Source organism: Homo sapiens, chromosome 2 (genome assembly GCF_000001405.40).
Source record: "Homo sapiens chromosome 2, GRCh38.p14 Primary Assembly".
Taxonomy (NCBI): Eukaryota; Metazoa; Chordata; class Mammalia; order Primates; family Hominidae; genus Homo; species Homo sapiens.
Window position 1 is genome coordinate 234,303,716 of NC_000002.12, and position 20,851 is coordinate 234,324,566.

The 20,851-nt window shown below is 42.0% G+C and overlaps 1 annotated feature.

Moving 5' to 3' along the window:
- Window positions 5,328-5,467: an enhancer, noted in NCBI's record as "active region_17353". NCBI's record gives its function as "activates an Ori minimal core promoter by ATAC-STARR-seq in GM12878 lymphoblastoid cells {active_cell/tissue: GM12878}" and the evidence as "EXISTENCE:reporter gene assay evidence [ECO:0000049][PMID:35858748]".

Sequence of the window (20,851 nt, forward strand, 5' to 3'; positions counted from 1 at the left end):
GGTTAACACCATTCTCCTGCCTCAGCCTCCTGAGTAGCTGGGACTACAGGGGCCAGCCACCACGCCCGGCTAATTTTTTGTATTTTTAGTAGAGATGGGGTTTCACTGTGTTAGCCAGGACGTTCTTGATCTCCTGACCTCATGATCCGCCTGCCTCGGCCTCCCAAAGTGCTGAGATTACAGGTGTGAGCCACCGTGCCGGGCCAACGGCTGGCTTTTTAATACTTACCTTATAGCCATTTTTAAACTGAGAAGCTTAAACTGAACATATAATCAAATTTTGTGTTAAAGAAGTGAGATTTTAGCAGCATTTTTGAGTTTTGAAGTCCAAAACCATCTCAAGGCATAGGAGCCCTAGCCTCAACTGAAGTTGAATTTTTGTAGGGATTGTTAATTGCCATTTGTACCTAATCCTGTATGTGTGTGTGTGTGTATGTGTATATATATATATATGAAATATGATCTGTCACTATGTGACACAAGTTGCATATTTGGGACTGCAGTAAGGGCTTGGTGGGCTGGGGGAATAGTGTGGATTTTTTTTTTTTTTTTTTGAGATGAAGTCTTGCTCTTGTCGCCCAGAGTGGAGTGCAGTGACGCGATCTCGGCTCACTGCAACCTCCACCTCCCAGGTTCAAGCGATTCTCCTGCCTCAGCCTCCTGAGTAGCTGGGATTACAGGGGTCTGCCACCATGCCCGGATAATTTTTGTACTTTTAGTAGAGATGGGGTTTTGCCAATAGTATGGATATTTAATGACTACTTGTTTTTTAATTAATGAACACTTAGCCTTTCTATGTGCATAATGGTGTAAAGGTTAGATGGGTAGGCGTTTGACAAACAGATGCTTGCCATTCAGTTACAGACTGGGGAAATAGCTCAGTATTTGGGATTGAAACTGTAAAGACTGGATAGGTTTTAGTCATCACTCTCTTTTGTCTGGTGGGGATTTAATAAATACTTTCAAGCTTCTGGTTTGGGAATTTAGAGAGTTTTGATTTTGGATTTGTAAATAGTTGATTGCTAAATTTGGTCAGATTTCTCCCGACTGGCTGTTCCTCAATTCTTAGGATATGTCCCAGTAAAATTGCACTTTGTGAATTAATTGTTATATGCGTAATTGTTGCATTTTGGATATACCTAATTTGATAATTTTTTTAAAATTCCATTTAAGGTATCTATTTGCAGGTCAGAAAGTAAGAAAATGTAATTGTGTAATCCTCTGAAATGTAAAAAAAAAAAAAAAACAAAACAAACAAAAAACCTTCGGGGCTGGAATACAAAGGCATGAATCATGAACCCTCTGCTCAAGGAGTCAGGGCAGATGGGAGCTAAACAGGCATTCAGAAGGCTTATTATCTTGTTAACACTCGGTGACAACTCCTACCATAGAGGTAAGCACATGGTGGCCTGCCTGGAAGGCGACCCAGGCTGATTCTTTAAGGAAAGGGTAAACAGTATTTGCCCTGCCTCTGCTGAATCAGCTTCACATTCCTGCTCCCCAGCAGGCATGTTCGACACAATGGCGAGTCCCTCCCTTCCCCAGTGCCACACATGGGATGAACCAGTGTCACTTAGCATTAAATATTGCATAACTGATGTGCTCTGTTTTGGGATTAGACATATTCTGTGCCAGAAATAATACAACTGAGAATAATTGCTAAAAGGGACCAAGATAAGAACCTACACTTAGGAAAGAACTAGAGAGAGCTAGGAAATACTAGGAATGTCACAAAACACAAAAGGGTTTTGATTTTGATTATCTTGTCCCATTACTCAGAGGGGCAATCCTTGCAGTGTTTCCATATCCCTCTACACAGTTTCCAACCTGTGCCCACCAAATTAAAGCAACAACAAAAACCCTCCAAATTTCTTAAATCCATGCTGCATTCTTGTGTCTGACTACAATACTGGTAGAGATGGGAAGGGTTTCTTGGTGCATTTAAGGAAAACTTTGTTTCAGACACCCCATATACCACCAAAGCCATCACTGCTAGGCTGGTGATGGTTTAGATCTCTAGATCAGTGGTTCTCAAACTTGAACATTCCTTAGTATCCCCTGGAGGGCTTGTGAAAACATAGACTGTTGGGCACACTATCCCCAGAATTTCTGATTTGGTAGCTGTGGGGTGGAGGCCAGGTAAACAGGTGATGCTGATGTGGATGCCCTGGGGACACTCTTTGAGAACCACTGCCATAGGCAATTTCTAAGGGCATGGGTGATCCGCCTTTTACAATCTCTCTGATGCCTCATGCAGTCAGGACAGACATGTGGATGTGAAAAGGATAGGGGCCAGCAGGATTCCTAAATGCACTCATTAACACATGGTGCATTCCTTACTATGATGTTCCTGCCTCAGTCAGTCGCTGTTAGGAATTTTACTAACCACGAGAAGAGCCAGAGGACAGGAAAAAGAATCTAAGCTGGTCATCAGGTGACCAAGGTTTTGGTCAGGACTCGTCTACTTGCTTGGTGGTTGATTTCAGGGAAGTAACCTACATTATCTGTTACTGTTTGGTCTTCTCAGTGGAAAGTTCTCTCATCACATTAGGCTCTTAATATGACAAAAAGAAACTTAGGAAAGCAGTTTTTAAAAAGCAAAGTTTATTCTTGTTTTGTTTCTGTTTGGCTGCTTATCATACAGCAGAACAGACTACTGAAAACTGGACATTCAAAGCCTGAATTTCAAGACCTCACACTTGACACTTCCATGAAAGCAGGCAAAAGACTCAGGTGCAGGCAAGGAAAGGGGCTTCCACTGGTAGACAAGACCTTCATGCTTAGCCTTTGGTAACAAATGTCCAACAAGGAATGGCAGGTGATTTGGATGGTGGTAGGAGCGTAACAAAGAGGAATCTCAGAGCAGGGCATGTGTAAAGTTCCAGGCAGGGAGCAGCAGTGCTATTTCTCAGGACTCAGCAAGTCCTAGCTTGCAGGAGTGGTTTCAGGACAGGAGTCTCATCCCCGGATATTATGAGCCCCTCCTACCCATTTCAAATCACCTCCTAGGCTGGGTGCCAGATATTAACTAGACGGCTTCCACGAAGCAAGCTTGGATCAATGCTGGGTTTGCACCAAAGAAGGAATCCTTTAATCCCTCCCCTTCTTTTTTAGAGACAGGGTCTCACTACATTGCCCAGGCTGGTCTTGAACTCCTGGCCTTAAGTGATCCTCCCACCTCAGCCTTCTGAGTAGCTGGCATTACAGGTGTGAGTCGTTGCACCCAGCTGAATCCCCTCTGACTGAGAAAAGAACTGGCGCCAAGCTGAGCCTGAACTTGCTAATGGTATGAGTCAAGGAGTGTGCCCAATTAAGTTAATGGGCTCATCCATTGCCATGTGGACTATACAGTACCTGCTACCCCAAAGAGGCAGAGTCTGTTTTCCCACCTTGGGGGTGGCCTTGATCGTGAGACTTGCTTCGTCTAATAGAATGAGATAACAGTGACCGAGCACTACTAGTTTTGAACCTAGGTCTCGAGAGACCTTAATGCTTTTTTTTTTTTTTTTTTTTTTTTTTTTTTTTCTGTTTTGATCTTCTGCCATGGCCATGAGAAGGACATGCCCAGACTAGGTCACTGGTCCTGTGAGGAGGATGAGAGCTGTGTGGGGCAGAGCTGCCTCAGCTAAATTCTACCAGCCAAGCCCAGGCTAGAGCAGTGACCCCAGATGATCCCCCAAATGCACGAATGAACCCAGCTGAGGTCAGTCAAGTTCAGTACAGCTCAGCAGCCAACCCTCAGCTGATCCACTGACACATAAGCCACAATAATAAGTGCTCATTGTCTTAAGGTACTGAGTTTGGGATAATTTGTTACACAGCAAGAGGTAACTGATACAAGTGGCTACTATGTTAAGCTTGGGGATACCAACATGAATTAACACTAAATATCCACCTGCAAGTAACTTACAATGTAATGAGGAAGCAACAGTTACAATAAGGTAAGTGATATATGCTACTAGAGTTAGGGTTAGAGTTAGAGAACTTGAGAGGAACTTAACGGGTGCTATAAAAAAGGAACTCAATAGGTGCCATTCGGGTTCAGAGAAACAAGGCACAAACTCTGCCTTGGAGGTTAGCAAAGCCTGAGAATGAGAGTCTTGTCTACCAGTGGAGGCTCCCTTTCATTGCCTGCTTCTCAGGCAGAAAGGAAGTTTTCTCCAAAATAACACATGTGCCAAGCAAGGTGTGGACAAATAACCAGACAGCTCTGAGCATGCCCTGCATCGAACACTAGACCAATTGCTTATGGTTGGAAACAATTGAGATCAGACCCAAGGTTTGACTCACATAGGAACAAGTTAACTTCCTGGGATCCAGGGCAACAGAATCCACCTTCACCTCCAGTGGGCCATCTTGCGAAGGAAAGCTGTTGGACTCTAAAGGTGCAGTGGGGTCGGTCCATATCCATGGCCAATCCTGAGTGAGGGCCTTGCTGATGTGGAGAACCCCAGCTTAGTCACTGAGCAGGCATCTCCTTGTCCAAATACCAAGGACAGACACCGCAGGCCACCGACCACTGTAACAGCAAAATAAATTTGTTCCAGGGAAAATGCTAAACATGTGACTGATTTTTTTCCTGTAGTTCTTAAAAAAAAAAAATTCCCTGTGCATCTTGATGATGCATCATTTGTAAGATGCTTTGTTTGCCTACAGTGGTGTCTGGTGGAGGACTAGGGATGGACACTCTAATTCAGAAAGTAAAGAAAAGTAATTGACAGCTTTCCTTCTGTAATTTTGTTTGAGTTCATAAAATAGAGAATTGCTGTAAGCCTAAAAGCAACTGATGGCTGACACCAAAATCGAAACATGGATATGCTCAGCCTGACATCTTAGGAAGCCGCCAACGATACTGTGTGCAAGCCCATCACCCAGCATCTCCCTGGGTATCCCAGGCTTCTTAACCAGAGGAACTTGCACAGAGAAACCAAATTGTGGATGGTTACAGCCATGTGAGTAGGGCTGATCTATCTTTACCTGACAACTGCACATGCAAGGTTAGCCCTTGTTCTGAAGAGCAGATTCTTCTCTGAAATCTGATGCTCTTTGTCTGGACTTTTCAGAAGGAGAGAGAGCATAATGCTTAATTTTATAAGTGACTGATTTGAACTGTGTAACGTCTAGAGATATTTCTCAGAGGTTTACTATCGGTCACAAAAAATATAACATGACTCAGAGAAGAACTGATTTCCCTTTTTTGAAAAGTAGAGAAGCCACAGGGCAAACAAATGAGGCAGCTTCCCCTGGCTCATGCGGAAAGATTGACGTCAATCTCCAAGTAGCTGAGACAGCTCACGCTTGCTTGGGCTCATGAGGAAGAAGTGGAAATCTCTGTGCCACAAAACCCAAAGGCATAATGTCAAAACCCCATCTGTAAGCAGGAGAGAGCTTCAAGGCTGGATGGGCCATGGTCTGATTACAGAGCCAGTTTCACAAAAGACATGGGGTTTACAGCATCACAGGGAGAAAGAGGAGATCGTCAGTTAAATGAAAGAGAACAGTGGATAAAATGACTCTTTTAAGTGTGCTGCCTTTCAGTTCACTGGCTCACAATTTAATGGCAAATAACCAGAAAAATGCCACAAGTCGTCCTTGCTATGAAGTCTCCAAACTCTAGCTAGGTTTAATGGTGCAACATCTGCATATTTGTATTAGTCTGTTTTCATGCTGCTGATAAAGATATACCTGAGAGTGAGCAATTTACAAAAGAAAGAGGTTTAATTGGACTTATAGTTCCACATGGGTGGGGAGGCCTCACAATCATGGCGGAAGGCAAGGAAAAGCAAGTCACGTCTTACGTGGATGGCAGCAGGCAAAGAAAGAGAATTTGTGCAGGGAAACTCCCATTTTTAAAACCATCAGATCTCATGAGACTCATTCACCATCATGAGAACAGCTCAGGAAAGACCGCCCCCCACCCCCATAGTTCGATCACCTCCCCTTATGGGAATTGTGGGAGTTACAGTCAAGATGAGATTTGGGTGGGGACACAGCCAAACCATATAAATATTCCAGCTGCCACTTTGCAGAGTAAATGGTGAGAAGTGATTGGAATCTGGATATAGAGTGCAGGTCAAGCTGACAAATTTTGTATATGGTTTACATGTAGAGCATGAGAGAAAAGAGAAGGCAAGGATTACACCAAGGCCATGACCTGAACAGCTCTTGCCTCGGTGCCTCCAGGTGTGTGGGATGTGTTTGCTTTCTGCTTCTACCTTTCTGGTGCTACTATCAACTTTTTGTCCAGGAACCCCTTGTCTATGGAGTTGTGCCTTCCAGTGGTGTAGACCATCTGCTTCTTCTTCCCAAACCAGGAAACCGAAATGCCACAAAACAGCGCATGCCCTTACTGCGTGTGAAGTCCTTCGGCATTTTATCTTCTCTTCCATTAGTTGTATTTTTTAAAAAGTTTCTCAAAATCCACTACACAGATTCTCTATCCTCTATCGAGTCATGACCCACAATTTTGAAAATCACTCTTTCAGACAACACTGTATGAGAATATTTTTCCTGCTTGAAGCCAAGGGAGAAATAACACTGCTTCTATCCCCAGGCACACTCTAAAGGACACTGGAGAAAGGGGACAGAACCAGCAGCAGGTGCCCACACGTCAGGAAACACTCATCCGCTGAAACAGCTGAGCTTGCCTGGAGATTTGCAAGCAATATATCCAGGAACAACTCCTGGGCTTTTCTCCTGCTGAGCTCCCAGGATCACTCCCTTAGACTCAAATTGTCACCCCCAACTCGCTGTGGTGGCTGCATGGTCCAGATGGCGCTGCACCAACCACTCCTCTGGGGCTGGGACTCTAGGAAGCAAGTGACACACCTTCTTAAGACTAACCCGCAGGTCGGCTTTCTTATTTTTTTTTAAGCAATAATCTCTATGGAGACACCAACAGAGGGTAACAGTAATCATCAACAGAGAGAAGGCTTCGGAACACACAACACTTTCAGAATATGACAGTTTATAATGTCTTGGCCCATATCTACTGTGAAGCAGCAACATCAGTCTTCCAGCCTCTGACCATCACTCTCCTTTGTGAAGGCCCAGCAAGGAGCCCTTTCTAGTCCATGTTGATCAGCCACCTGCCTTGAGGAACTCGATTTAGGCTGTTTTATAACCATTGATTTGTGTTCATTAACTTAAACCTCGTCTCTTTTTAATGGGTTCTTCTATTAGTCTTAATAGTTTTTAATTTGTAATTAAAGTTTCCTAGAGTCACAAATTAAATATCATATCACAGGCAAATATAGATCATTTTGTCTTCTTGACTTAAAAAGTTATACCTTGTATTGCTGTTTCTGGACTTATTTCATTGCCCCGAACTTTTAGAGCTACATTAGACAATAGGAAATGGCAGGTATTTCGGAATTTATTGGAAATGCTTTCAACTTTTCTTTTCTTTCTTTCTTTTTGAGATGGAGTTTCACTCTTGTTGCCCAGGCTGGAGTGCAATGGTGTGACCTTGGCTCACTGCAACCTCTGCCTCCTGGGTTCAAGCAATTCTCCTGCCTCAGCCTCCCAAGTAGCTGGGATTACAGGTACACACCACCACACCCAGCTAATTTTGTATTTTTAGTAGAGACGGGGTTTCTACATGTTGGTCAGGCTGGTCTCGAACTCCCGACCTTAGGTGATCCACCCGCCTCAGCCTCCTAAAGTGCTGGGATTACAGGCAAGAGCCACCATGCCCAGCCGCTTTCAACTTTTCTCTCTTAAAGTATAATATTGTCTCGTTGGTATAAGATGTCATCCTATAATATCTAGTTAAGAGGGTTTTTAAAAATAACAATGATAGTTAAGCTTTATTAAATACTTCTTCAGCATCTATTTTTTTTTATTTTGTATTTTAAAGTATGCATTAATAGATTTCCTACCATTATATTAATATTACTCTGTCTTCTTGGAATAAGCCTTCAATGACATACTGAAATATTGTAACATATCTATGAATTTATTTTCAAGTGTTTTATTTAGGATGTCTGCAATTTTATTAATAACATGCTGTCTTTGCCAAAGTTGCTGATATTAAAAAAATAGATTATTTACATTAAAAATGATATTATAATTTTCTTTGTTATCTGGAAGAGTTTATAAAATATGGAAAGTCTCTTTTCCTCGAAAGCTTTAATGAATTTCCCAGTGAAATCTTCTGCCATGATTGTGAGGCCTCCCCAGCCATGCGGAACTATAAGTCCAATTAAACCTCTTTCTTTTGTAAATTGCCCAGTCTCAGGTATGTCTTTATCAGCAGCAAGAAAACAGACAAATACAAATATGCAGATGTTGCACCATTAAACCTAGCTAGAGTTCGGAGACTTCATAGCAAAAATGACTTGTGGCATTTTTCTGATCCCCTCCCTTCTCCAGGCTAATTTTTGTAGTTTTAGTAGAGACAGGATTTCGCCATGTTGGCCAGGGTGGTCTTGAACTCCTGACCTCAGGTGATCTGCCTGCCTCGGCCTCCCAATGTGCTGGGATCATGCACGCAGCCTAATTTCTGATTTTCATGTATAATTTTTCTCAATGAGCTTTACCAAGATATCTCTGACCAACTCTCAGATAGCCAGCTTTGGGGTTTATTTATCAATTCTCCTTTATTCCCTATATGTTTTTTGTCTTTAAAAATAAATAGTTGAAAATTTTCTGGTTATAAATTATGTAGAAAAATTAGGAGTACTCAGACAAAAAAACCTGCAGACTCCCTCAATGCTCTCCTCCTTAATCCTGATCTCCTCCCTTCTCCCCGGGTCAGGGATTTGAGAAGAAAGTAATGCTTAAGTTTTATATTTTATGGTTTGATTTTTGTTTTGTAATTTTTTACATTGTTATAAATGTATCCAAGTTTTTACTTGCAACAACAATTTTTATTTAATACATGGGCAAGAAAAAATATCTTCTTATTGATAGTTTATAGTTTGTGGGTGTATTGTCATGCCTGGTCTCATGTAGTTTAGTATCCTTATCTTTTTAATTTCTGATTTTCTTTTTCTTTCTTTTTTTTCTTTTCGTGACCGAGACTCGCTCTGTCGCCCAGGCTGGAGTGCAATGGAGCAATCTCAACTCACTGCAACCTCCGCCTCCCAGGTTCAAGCAATTCTCCTGCCTCACCCTTCTGAGTAGCTGGGGTTACAGGTGCCCACCATCATGCCCGGCTAATTTTTGTATTTTTAGTAGAGACAGGGTTTCGCCATGTTGGCCAGGGTGGTCTTGAACTTCTGACCTCAGGTGATCTGCCTGCCTCGGCCTCCCAAAGTGCTGGGATTATAGGCATGAGCCTCTGCACCCAGCCTAATTTCTGATTTTCATGTGTGATATTTCTCAATGAGCTTTGCCAAAATATCTTTGACCAACTCTCAGATAACCAGCTTTGGGGTTTATTTATCAATTTTCCTTTATTCCCTACATGTTTTTTGTCCTTAAAAATAAATAGTTGAAAATTTTCTTGTTATAAATTATGTAGAAAAATTAGGAGTACTCAGACAAAACAAAACAAAACAAAAAAAACACAAAAAAATAACGGAGAATCCCTCAATGCTGTCCTCCTCAATCCTGATCCCCTCCCTTCTCCCTGGGCCATCCTAGGCAGGAGGCTGGGGTTCCTCAAAGGTTCTAGATGATTCCATTGGAATCTTTGGGCTTTGTGGCACCTTCCCACTGAGGGGGATCCTTCCTTTCTCCCACCAGCGACCTTCCTTTTCCTTGTTACACTGACATTTAGGCTGTTTTTATAAATCAAGCCTTGTTATATTTTGTAGCCACTGATTTGTGTTCATTTTCTCAAACCCAGCCTCTTTAATGGATTCTTCTGCTGTGGAAGTGCCTGCACCTTGCATCTTAGGGGTGAGGAGCCACTACATTGAGGTGGAGACTGGGCAGGATTCCTCCCATGGCATTTCTATTTCCGGAGGCTGCTGAGGTGACTTGCTCAGGCCCGGCTCCAGGCCAACCTGTTAGACTGAAGAAGGGTAGAGCCCTGCCCTTTTCTCTTTCTTTTCACCAGTGGGATGTTGGGGCACCCTGTGGATCCCCACCCTCTGCCTCTGTCTATGGGACATGCAAACAACCACATTCCCCTTTGTTTTGCTATGGTTGAACATTTGCTTGCTAGGGTTTTACCAGTCTCTTCTCCCCAAAACCTCATTGTTTCGTTTTGCTCCTTAAAGCACTCACCACATGACGTTATCTGGTGATTTGCAAAAATATTGCCTGGGTTTTGACTGAATTGTGTTTTCTTTTGGTGGTGTATAAAATTGTCATCTATAAATGCTACATAATGACTTTACAAGTTACTACTTGCCTCATGTGTGTCTACATGGTCTCGTGTGGATTACTTGTGACCTGTTACTAGCTTCCACCATGAGTGTGATTCCATAATGTATTTTGTGTTTTCACTTGAAGTTCATTGTACCATATTGCCTGGTACATGGAAGTTCATTACTTATAAATATTAAGATTTCTGGGGTCAGATTGCTTGAATCTAAATCCTGAGTCCACCACTTACTAACAAAACCTGATTTAATTCAATATTCATTAAATATTTGTTGTGTGCCTATCATGTGACATGTGTTGTTCCAGGTACTGAGACTAGAGCAATGAACAGAACATACAAGTTCCCTAGTTCATGGAGCTTACCCTGGTAGGAAGGGATTGAACCAGATGGTGATGAATGCTGTAGAGGAATAGCAAGGAGAATAAGGAGGCAAAGAGTATGTGTACTGCAGCTTTATACAGGGTGGTCAGGGGATAGCTGAGCAAAGGTCTGAAGGAAGTGAAATTGTCAAGCCATATTCCTATAGCTTAGGAAGAGGTCTGGCGCCAAAAGGAGCATCAAATACGAAGTCACACTTCCTAAAATCAATAGGAAAACATAGAAGGGGAAATCAGAAGATTAACATGATCAGATTTGCATTTAATTTATTTATTTTAAATGGACACTTAATAATTGTACATACTCATGGGGTACAGTGTGATGTTTTAGTATATCTATTGTGTAATGATTAAATCTGGCTACAGGTTGAGTATCCCTTATCCAAAATGCTTAGAACCAGAAGTGTTTCTGATTTCAATTTTGTTTTTTAATTTTGGAACATTTTAATTTACATAATGAGATATCTTGGGGGTGGAATCCAAGTCTAACAAGTCTAAACACAAACTTCATTTATGTTTTATAAACACCTTATACACATAACCTGAAGATAATGAAATACAATATTTTTATTAATTTTGTGTATGAAACAAAGTTTGTGTTGAACACTTATGTGTGGAATTTTTCACTTGTGGTATCATGTCAGCACTCAAAACGTTTTGGATTTTGAAGTATTTCACACTTAGATTTTTTATTTTATTTTATTTTATTTTATTTTATTTCTTGAGTCAGAATCTTGCTCTGTTGCCCAGGTTGTAGTGCAGTGGCACAGTCATGGCTCACTGCAGTCTCAACCTCCTGGGCTCAAGTGATCCTCCCACCTCAGCTTTCCAAGTAGCTGGGACCATAGGCACGTGCCACCATGCCCAGCTAATTTTTTATATTTTGTAGAGACAAGGTTTTGTTATGATGCCCGGGCTGATCTTGTACTCCTGGGCTCAAGCAATCTGCTTGCCTCCACCTCCCAAAGTGCTGGGATTACAGGCATGAGCCACCACACCTGGCCTAGATTTCAAATTTTTGGATTAGAAATGCTCAATCTGTATTTGGCATATTTATCACCTCATACATTTATGATATCTTCATGGTGAGAACACTCAGAATCTTCTCTTCTAGCTATTTTAAAATATGCAATATAATATTGTTAACCAGTCACCCTAATGTGCTATGGAACACCAGAACTTTTTCCTCCTGTCTGTCACCTTGTACCCACTGATGAGTCTCTCTCCATCCCCCATCTTCCCCACCCTCCCCAGCCTCTAGTAACCACTCTCTATTTTATGCTTCTATGAGAGCAGTATTTTTAGATTTCTCATATGCGTGAGAGCATGCAGTATTTAGCTCTCTGAGCCTGACTTATTTCACTTAACATCCTCCGGGTTCATCCATGTTGCCCCAAATGACAAGATTTCACTAGTTTTATGGTTGAATAGTATTATTTTATTGTGTGTGTGTATATATATATATATATATATATATATATATATATATATATAACATTTTCTTTCTGTTGATGAAACATAGGTTGATTCCATATCTTGGCTACATGAATAGTGCTGCAATAAACACGAAAGTGCAGACATCTCTTTGACATACTGATTTTATTTCCTTTGGATATGTATCTTGTAGTGCGATTGTGAGATAGGATTTGTATTTATTTAAAAGATCGAATTGTATGTTATGCTGAGATAAATGGGAAGATCCATTTATAAGTCAAATCAACTGAAAGACAATCGTAATCTTGGTGAGAGATGAACCAGGGTAGTGCCTGAGGATGAAGAAATGCAGGCATGTTGGAGATATGTCCCAGAGAGAGACTTGACCAGGTATTTCCTTTTATGGAGGGCAGAATCCTAAAGAAAAGGAAACCGAGGGCCGGACGCGGTGGCTCACGCCTATAATACCAGCACTTTGGGAGGCCGAGGCAGGCGGATCACGAGGTCAGGAGATCGAGACCATCCTGGCTAACACAGTGAAACCCCGTCTCTACTAAAAATACAAAAAATTAGCCGGGCGTGGTGGTGGGCACCTGTAGTCCCAGCTACTCGGGAGGCAGAGGCAGGAGAATGGTGTGAACCTGGGAGGTGGAGCTTGCAGTGAGCCGAGATCGTGCCACTGCACTCCAGCCTGGGCGACAGAGCGAGACTCCATCTCAAAAAAAAAAAAAAAAAAAAGGGAAAGGAAACCGAAAAGGTGATTCCCCACCCCCACTTCCGTTTTCTGGCTTGAGGAATTAGGTAGACAGAGATACCATCACAAAGGGACACTAGGAAAATGATATAGAACCCAGGTGGTTGCCAAAGGACTCTTAGGTCCCAGGCCTGGGGAGGTGACTTCTTTCTAATGGCATGTCAATATGACGAGGGAGATGTGATCAGGCATGTTGACATGTTCCTTGACTCCCACAAACTCAGAATGGGAGCAGAACCAATTCTGTAGTACAGGGTGCTAGTGGTCCCAGTTACAGGGAATCAGGGATAGCAGAGGCAAAACCAAAGCCAGGCCTGCGCACAGTGGCTCACGCCTGTAACCCCAGCACTTTGGGAGGCCGAGGCAGGCAGATCACAAGGTCAAGAGATCAAGAGCATCCTGGCCAACATGGTGAAACCCCGTCTCTACTAAAAATACAAAAAATCACTGGGTGTGTTGGCACATGCCTGTAATCCCAGCTACTCAGGAGGCTGAGGGAGGAGAATCACTTGGACCCGGGAGGCAGAGGTTGCAGTGAGCCGAGATCGTGCCACTGCACTTCAGCCTGGCAACAGAGCGAGACTCCGTCAAAAAAAAAACAAAAACAAAAAAACAAAAGCCAGGGCCTTTGGGAAGTGATTACATCATGAGGGTAGAGACCTCATGCTGGGGTTAGTGCCCTTATTTGTTTTTTTATTTTTTTATTTTTTTTTTGAGATGGAGTCTCACTGTGTTGCCCAGGCTGGAGTGCAGTGGTGATCTCACCTCACTGCAACCTCCGACTCCTGGGTTCAAGCGATTCTCCTGCCTCAGCCTCTCAAGTAGCTGAAACTACAGGTGTGCGCTACCATGACTGGCTAATTTTGTGTGTGTGTGTGTGTGTGTGTGTTTTTAGCAGGGATGGGGTTTCACCATGTTAACCAGGATGGTCTCAATCTCCTGACCTCATCATCCCCCTGTCTCAGCCTCCCAAAGTGCTGGGATTACAGGCATGAGCCACTGCGCCTGGCCTTGGTGCCCTTATAAAAGAGACTTCAAAAAGCTCTCCAGCCTTCTTTGTGCATGTGAGGACACATGGAGAAGCTGGCAGTCCCAACCCAGAAAAGGTCCTCACCAGAATTTGACTATGCTGTTATTCTGATCTAGATGTCCAGTTTCCGGAACTGTGAAAAATAGATCCCTGTTGTTTTTACAGCACCCAGTCTGGGAAACTTTGTTCTGGATGCCAGAACAGACTAAGACAGCCTCTAAGGAGACTGCTCCTGGCAATCGGGAAGACCCAGGTGAGCAGAGCACTTTGCTGAGTTTGGATGTACAGCGTTGTAGGTGGAGTGGGGCAGGGTTGACTGCTTTCCAGAAATAAAGAAGAATTTGAAGTTTTTGATCTATACTGGAGGAAAAGGACAGGAAGTGATAAGGGAGAGAAAGAAAGAAAAGAAGGCCCAGAAAGATGACAAAGTATTGGGCATGGTAAAAAAAAAATTTGTGCTGGGCAGGGCACGGTGGCTCACGCCTGTAATCCCAGTACTTTGGGAGGCCGAGATGGGTGGATCACCTGAGGTCAGGAGTTCGAGTCCAGCCTGACCAACATGGAGAAACCCCGTCTCTTCTAATAATACAAAAATTAGCCAGGCATGGTGGCGCACACCTGTAATCTCATTTACTCAGGAGGCCGAGGCAGGAGAATTGCTTGAACCTGGGAGACAGAGATTGTGGTGAGCCGAGACTGTATCACTGCACTCCAGCCTGGGCAACAAGAGAAAAATTCTCTCTCAAAAAAAAAAAAAAAAAAGAAAGAAAGAAAAAAAAACATGTACCAAAGTGACTCTTCCCCCTGTGACACCCCCTGACACCTCCAGAAAAATCTACAGCACTCAAAAGCATTGGTGTGACCAAGTTCCTGAAGGAAGGGGCCGAGCTGCAAGACAGGGTGACACGGAGAAGGCAGAGGAGACCAGGAAATGGGGACAATTGCCAGACTGCATAAATGGCTGGGTTTGAATGCCAGTTCTGTGAGATTCTTGATTATTCACTGAGAAGTCTGCCAAAATTCCACATGACATGAAATGGTAGTGGTGGTGGAGAGGGTTTGGTTTGGGGCAATATTTTCACCTCTTCAGGGAGCAACCGGGATCTGAGAACCCAGCTGGGCTAATTAATGATTAGGGTGCCTCTTCCTCCTTCCAGTCATATTCTTCACTCTTAATTGCTTTCTTCCTTTTTTTGTTATCTCGTTATTTTCTTCTTCTGGCTCATTTCTTTTTTTTCTTTTTTTGAGATGGAGTCTTGCTCTGTCTCCCAGGCTGGAGTGCAGTGGCACGATCCCAGCTCACTGCAACCTCCGCTTCCTGGTTTCAAGCGATTCTTCTGCCTCAACCTCCCGAGTAGCTGGGATTACAGGACCATGCCACCACGCCTGGCTAATTTTTGTATTTTTGGTAGAGATGGGATTTCTCCATGTTGGCCAGGCTGGTCTCAAACTCCTGACCTCATGATCCACCCGCCTCAGCCTCCCAAATTGTTGGGATTACAAGCTTGAGCCACTGTGCCCAGCCTCTTTTTTTTTCTTTTTTTGAGATGGAGTCTCACTCTGTCTCCCAGGCTTGAGTGCAGTGGTGCGATCTCGACTCACTGCAACCTCCTCCTCCCGGGTTCAAGCAATTCTCCTACCTCAGCCTCTTGAGTAGCTGGGACTACAGGTGCCTGCCACCACGCCTGGCTGATTTTTGTATTATTAGTAGAGATGAGGTTTCACCATGTTGATCAGGCTGGTCTCGAACTCCTGACCTCAGGTGATCCACCCACCTCGGCCTCCCAAAGTGCTGGGATTACAGGCGTCAGCCACCTCACCCGGCCTGGCTTATTTATTTGATAGTAATACTTCAAATCTGTCCCCCAGCCATAAAATTGCCTTCTGGAAAAACATACCTGCGTCTACCATTGTGCAACACACAGCCTAGAACTACATGTAGGGCCCCAACTTCAGGACAATGCGACCTCAGCCCCCCACTAAAGATGGGGAGATTGAGCTCAGCCCAGAGGGTTTGTTTTGTTGTGTTTTTTTTTGTTTTTTGTTTTTTCTTTTTTTTGTGAGATGGAGTTTCACTCTTGTTTCCCAGGCTGGAGTGCAATGGTATGATCTTGGCTCACTGCAACTGCTACCTCCCAGGTTCAAGCAATTCTCCTGCCTCAGCCTCCCGAGCAGTTCGGATTACAGGCGCGCACCACCACACCCAGCTAATTTTTTGTATTTTTAGTAGAGATGGGGTTTCACCATGTTGGCCAGGCTGGTCTTGAACTCCTGACCTCAGGAGATCTGCCTGCCTCGGCCTCCCAATGTTGTTGTTGTTCTTGTTGTTTTCCTCCTCCCTCCTCCTCCTTCTTCTCTTCCTTTGTCTTCCTCTTTTTCCTCTTCCTCCTCTTCTTCATCTTCATGTAAGCCGCTGAACTAGCCTCTGCTATTTTATCAGTTGATTCTTCTACCACAGTTTTTCACAGCAATACTTGATCGAAGAACATCTGCTACTGTCTGGAACATATTTTTTTTTTCTTATACTTGACTTTGCACTTCCTATAGCTGTCAGATAAGCATCGTCTCACAGATTTTGCAACATAGCTCCATATTACTGAACAAACATCCATTATGCTTATGGCTGGAATCATGTCAATCTGAATGCAAAACGTGCCAGCTGTCTTCCTTGTTAATGGGCATCTTAATTATGTTGGCTAATTATGCTGATATTGCAAGTAATACTGTTCATTGTTGCTTTAGAAATAAAAGTGATATCACCAAGTGACTTCCAAGGCTTTTCTAGCTGGGCTATATTTTGCAGATTCAAAATATTAAGATGCAAGAATTCTGAGCCACTCCTTGATGTGGACCTGCAATCTACTGGTCTCTCTACACCTGGACCCATCTCCGGAGGCTTCAACTGCATAGGTCCCTCCCAATTGAATCCTTAGCTTAACTGATTCTATTGCTATGGTTCTTCCTATTGAAATGGATTAGGGAGATGTATTTGAGAGGTTTCATTTTAGGCCCTCGGTGTGACAAAACCATTTTCTGTGTTTCTCTCCAAACTTCTGTATTCATGCTGTCTAAAACCTCAATGGCTGGTGTACCTGAGACTTGTATTTATGTTTATGGTCTTGGTGATTAGTATTATTCTTCTGAAAAAACAACATAAACTTCTCTTTCCATCTCCTTTTCTCTCTTTCTAAAAAATATTCAATTTGAGAACCAAAAATCCTGTTCCTAAAAATCCTAGAGAAAAATTTTGACCAAAAAAAAACTAAACGCACAAAATGCTCCTGGAAAATTCTTCTTTAATAACAATAAAAGATAATGTTATCTAAAAAAATATTCAACTTGAGAACCAATAATCCTGTTCCTAAAAATTAATCCTAGAGAAAAATTTTGACCAAAAAAAAAACTAAATGCACAAAATGCTCCTGGAAAATTTTTCTTTAATAACAATAAAAGATAATGTTATCTAAATTTTATTGATTATAGTTGTCACCACAAGAGGCACCCAGATTATGGTCTTTGTCAATATTCCTTTTTATTTGCCACAGCAAATGAGGTGATGGTGTTTTTCCCTGAATACCATAACCTGGCAAGACCAGTCATTGAGCACAAGGTTATTCTAGGATGTCTAATTGATAAATGAGATACTGCACATGTTGCACATTAAAAACATTGACTTTCTTTCGGTTTTCCAGAACTCCATACCCAACACCAATTCATCACCAAAGGGGATAGAGCAGGAGCAATGGGGATAGAGCAGGAGGCTCCTCCTTGGCATGGTAAGGCAGGGTTCACATCAGTTATCTGATGACTGGAAACTGACATTCCAGGTTTATTATGAACACACAGAGCCAGCACATTTTGGCCCCTTCTATAACTACAACTATTCTCGGAGGAGGAAGAGCACATGAATTCCAAGGACTAGCCCTTCCAAGAGGATGGAAGAAAAACAAGTATTTTGAATGCATCTCAGCCAAACCTCCACCTTTTCTCTATTCCTCTTCCTTCTCTGTCTGTTTTCTTCTTCCTTTCCTTCATAGACCCATAGGCAATGTCAAATATAGGATTAAAGGAGGATGAGGGCAAAAATTTCCAACTGTGATTAGGATTCGCCCTTTCAATGCATGCAATGGATTTAACAAATGCTAAAAACTGGCTAAAGCAACAGTGGTCAAGACAGAAAAATAACATGCACCTGTTTAAAATAATAATTTTAAAGAATCTATCAACATGGAAATGGTATTGGTATAACATCAAGGAATAAGAGCAGAATATGAAATTTAGTGGGTACTATGTTTACTTATGAAAATGAAGACAGTGAATAATTTTTGGTAGTGTTAGGATTTTTATTTAGGTATTTGATTTAAATATTTATTACGAAAGAGAAACTATTTTATGGTGTATTCTGTGGGATTTTCAAAGAAGTTTTATAGTTAAGAAAAATACCTTTACATCCTTACATACCTCATCCCAAATAGTAGAATGATACTTAAGAATATCTCTAAATAACAAAAAATGCAGTGTGTAAACCTTATGAGGAATCTAATTTGAAGATACTAGCTATCAAAAGAGATTCTTGAGAACACTGGGGACATTTGATTATGAAATAGGTATAATATTAAAAAGTATTGTAGGCTAGGCGCAGTGGCTCACACCTGTAATCCTAGCACTTTGGGAGGCCAAGGTTGGTGAATCACCTGAGGTCAGGAGTTCGAGACCAGCCTGGCAAACAAGGTGAAACCCCATGTCTACTAAATATGCATAAAAAAAATTAGCCAGGTGTGGTCGTGGGCACCTGTAGTTCCGGCTACTCGGTAGGCTGAGGCAGAAGAATCGCTTGAACACAGTAGGCAGAGGTTGCAGTGAGCCGAGACTGCGCCATTGCACACCAGCCTGGGCGACAAGAGCAAAACTCTGTTTCAAAAAAAAAAAAAAAATTTATTGTTAACTTTTTAAGGTGTGATAATGTCATGGTTGTTATGCTAAAAAGAAAAGTCCTTACCTGTTAGAGCCCTATATACACATATAAAAAATGATTCTTGAGATTTGCTTTAAAATTTTTTAAAATGTAGACTAGGGCAATGTGAGACAAGATTTTTTAAATGGTGATAATCATTGAAGCTGAAACGGGTAATGGGCACATTGATGTATTATAGTTTTTAATTTTGGGGTATGTTTGAAATTTTCTGAAAAAGAAAAAAGTAATAATACAACTGGCTGCAGTTATGAAAATAAAAGTAAATCAATATCAGGATAATCTTGGGTCTCAGTGTGTTAATTCAGGATAATTCAAGATTTTACTGACACTGAAACATTAGATTTAGTGGATTCTTTTTCTCTGTCAACATTACTGTTCGTGATGTTGTTTCATGCGTCAGATGCTAGGGACATATTTTCAGTGTTTATACTGGGAAATGCTAAAATTTTCTTGACTTCCTTTTTATGAATCAAGTTGTTTATCACTAATTGCTCTTTAACTGCCTGTTCAATACATTAAGATCAAGAATCTCTAACTCCTATTTAATTCTAAAGGAATTTTCAGTGATATAAGAAATAAAGAAGCATAGGAGGATTAAAGACTTAAAAATTCAGAGATTATGCAAAATGAACAAAGAAAGCTCACATTTCCAGGTAGCACTGAGAAAGTGTCTTGGAAACAGGATACCATATTTGTTTCTGAGTTTCCTGGTAACCAAGGCTAAAAGCAAAACACAGATGATACCCAGAAAGTAAAATCAGACACATTAACCTGCATTCATAATAAAACTACACTTCTGATGAAATACATCTCTAATGATTATTCTTGGATATGGAGTAGCACTAATATCACCTTCACTTGCTGTTTTATATAAGACATAGGGATGCCATGTAAATAAAAGCTTACCGAATTCATTCTCTATGAAGCTTAAAAATACATTGTTAATTATAAATCAGTAGCATTGGCTCCATGGAAAGTTAAAAAAATATGGTCCAGGCATTTTGTTTTCTGAAGATCTAAGTAAAGTGAATAATATCAAAGAATGGTCAAGCCATGTGTCCTTAGTTAGTCTGTCTGGCACCTCCAGGATTTGGTGAAACCTGGGCAGGGGCTGGAGAAGCAGAGTTGCCCTCTCTCCCAGACTCTCTTATGCCCACACTGACCATTGATCCCCCCACTGTACTTTGGGAAGACACCAATTCTGTTAGACCTTCCCAGGGACCTTACCAAAAAGGTTTCAAAGTCAAGTACTGAGATGTGATGGTCTGAACAGTGTTACACCAGTTTTCTTTTTCTTTTTCTTTTTTCTTATTTTTTTGCTGCAGGACACTTCCGGTTTTGAACACACCAGGTTTTAATTTGAATGTGTGAGAGGCGTAGAGTGTACGATTTCTCCAGTTTGGTTGACCACGGAATCCCTCTTTCTCCCCTGCTTTTAAAAAAATGTGGCATGTTTTATTATCTCTTTCTTTTCAACACATTATTTAGGAAACCCTGGACTATGGAATCAGCTGAAATGAGAGCCATGAGCTTTATATAACACTGAAAGCACCATGGTTCTCTTTCTGTCATTCAGAGCCAAACTTGCAGACTCCCAGATTAATATGGTGGCTCATAGCAGGTGCCTGATTGCCTGATTCATCCGCTCCCATCCTCCCATTAAAACCCCATTGAAGGCACATGCAAAATTGCAAAATTGCAACTGCACCAGAAGCTAAGAATACCAATTAATGCTTGGCCACAGTCTAGGAAGGATTTCTGCCAATAGCAGTGCAGATGAGGACAGATTGAGAAACTCTCATTAGCTGATGCACAATGCGGCTTTGAGGCAGAGCACCGAGGTCAGAAAAGACGGAGCCAAGCCCATCGCAGAGGCACCTCACAAGTGCCCAGGAGAAGCTGAGTACCAAACTCCAAGCAAGATAGAGTTGCATCCCTAGGCAAAGAGGGCCACTTCTTTAACCCCAACCACAACAGTCCTGCTAATCTGTATTTCTTAAAGAGT